This window comes from Homo sapiens, chromosome X (genome assembly GCF_000001405.40).
Source record: "Homo sapiens chromosome X, GRCh38.p14 Primary Assembly".
Taxonomy (NCBI): Eukaryota; Metazoa; Chordata; class Mammalia; order Primates; family Hominidae; genus Homo; species Homo sapiens.
Window position 1 is genome coordinate 91,374,057 of NC_000023.11, and position 2,449 is coordinate 91,376,505.

Here is a 2,449-nt window from a genome sequence, read left to right on the forward strand (position 1 = left end):
TGGATACCTTATTCTTCATGATGTGCTTATTTCACATTGCATGCTTATATCAAAACATCTCATGTACCTCATAAATATATACACCTACTATCAATGTACCCACACAAAATAAAAATAAAAATAAATTTAAAACAAGAATTTCATAATGCAATCACAAGTATTAACAGCTGAATAGACCAGGCTAAGGAAAGAAGGTCAGTGCTCCAAGACTGGCTCTCTGAAGTTACTCAGTAAGATATAAATAAAGAAAAATAAAGAATGAAGAAAAACTTCAAGAAATATGGGATTATGCAAGGAGACCAAATTTACAACTCACTAGTTTCCTTGAAAGAGATGAGGTGAAACCAAGCAATTTGGAAAACATATTTGAGGATATCATCCATGAAGTATTCTCCAACCTCACTAGAGAGGCCAACATTCAAATTTAGGAAATGTAGAGAACCACTGTGAGATACTAGACAAGAATACCATCTCCAAGAATCATAATCATCACATTCTCTCAGGTTGGAATGAAAGAAAAAATGTTAAAGGCAACTAGAGAGAAGGGACACATTACCTACAAAGGGAACCTAACCAGGCTAACAATGGACCATTCAGTAGTAACTCTGTAAGCCAAGAGAGACTCTAGGCCTATATTCAGCATTCTTAAAGAAAAGAATTTCCAACCAAGAATGTCATTTCCAACCAAACTAAGCAACAGAAGTGAAGGAGAAATAAGATCGAAATAAGATCCTTTTCAGCAAATGGTGAAAAGATTTGTTACTACCAGACCTGAATTGCAAGAGGTCCTAAAAGCAGCACTAAATATGGAAAGGAAATACCACTACCATCCACTACAAAAACACACTTAATTACACGGACCAGTGACACTATAAAGCAACCACACAAACATGTCTGCATAACAACATGATGGCAGGATCAAATCTGCACACATTAATACTAACTTTTAATACCAATGAATTAAATGCCCAATTAAACAGCAAAGAGTGGAGAACTGGATTAAGAAGCAAGACCTAAGGGTATGTTGTCTTTAAGAGACCCATCACACATGCACTGGCACCCATAGGCTCAAAATAAAGGAAAGGAAAAAAATTTAAAGCAAATGGAAAACACAAAAAGCAGGGGTTGCTGTATGAATTTCAGACAAAACAAATTTTAAATCAACAAAAAACAAAAAGAAAAAAGAAGAGCATTACATAATGATAAAGGGTTCAATTCAACAAGAAGACCAAACTATCCTAAATATATACACCCAACACAGGAGCAACCAGATTCATCAAGCAAGTTCTTAGAGATGTACAGAGATTTAGATTCCCACACAATAACAGTGAGTGACTTTAACACCTGACAGACAATATTAGACAAATCCTCAAGACAGAAAACAAAATTAACAAAAACAATAAGAACCTGCACTCAACACTTGAACAAGTGGACCTAATAGACATCTCCACCCCAAAACAATAGAATACACATTCTTCTCATCACCACATGACATAATCTAAAATCGACCACACAATCAAATATAAAATAAATCCTCAGCAAATTCAAAAACCTGAAATCATACAATCCACAGTCTTGGATGACAAAGCAATAGAAATAGAAATAAGCACCAAGAAAATCACTCAAAAGCATACAATTAAATGGAAACTAAACACTGTGTTCTTGAATAACTTTTGGGTAAATAATTAAGTTAAGGCAGAAATCAAGAACTTCTTTGAAATGAATGAAAACAAAAATACCAGATACCAAAATGTCTGGAATATAGCTAAGGCAGCATTAAGTAGGAAGTTTGTAACACTAAATGTCCACATCAAAAAGTTAGAAAGATCTCAAATTAACAACCTAACACTACAACTAGAGGAATGAGAGTAACAAGGCAACCAACCCCAAAGATAGCAGAAGAAAAGAAATAACCAAATCAGAGCTAATGTGAAGAAAATTGAGATGTGAAAAACAACAGAAAAGGTCAGAAAATCCAGGAGAGTATTTTCTGAAAAAATAAAATAAACAGAAAGATAGATCACTAACTACCCGAATAAAAAAGAGAGAGGATCTACATAAATACAATTAGAAATGACAAAGGAAATGTTACCACTGACCCTGCAGAAAAACAACGACAACAACAAAAAACCCTCAGAGACAACTATGAATATATCTATGCATCTGTGCATACAAACTAGAAAATCTAGAGGACATGGATAAATTCTCAGACACATAAAATCTACCAAGACTAAATCAGGAAGAAATTGAATCCCAGAACAGACAAATAATGAGTTCCAAAATTGAATCAGTAATAAAAAGACTACCGACCAAAAAAAGCCCAGGACCAGATGGATTCACAGCTGAATTCTATCAGATATATAAAGAAGAGCTAAAACCATTCCTAGTAAAACTATTCCAGAAAAATTGATAAGGAGGGACTCTTCCACAACTTATTCAATAAGGCCAG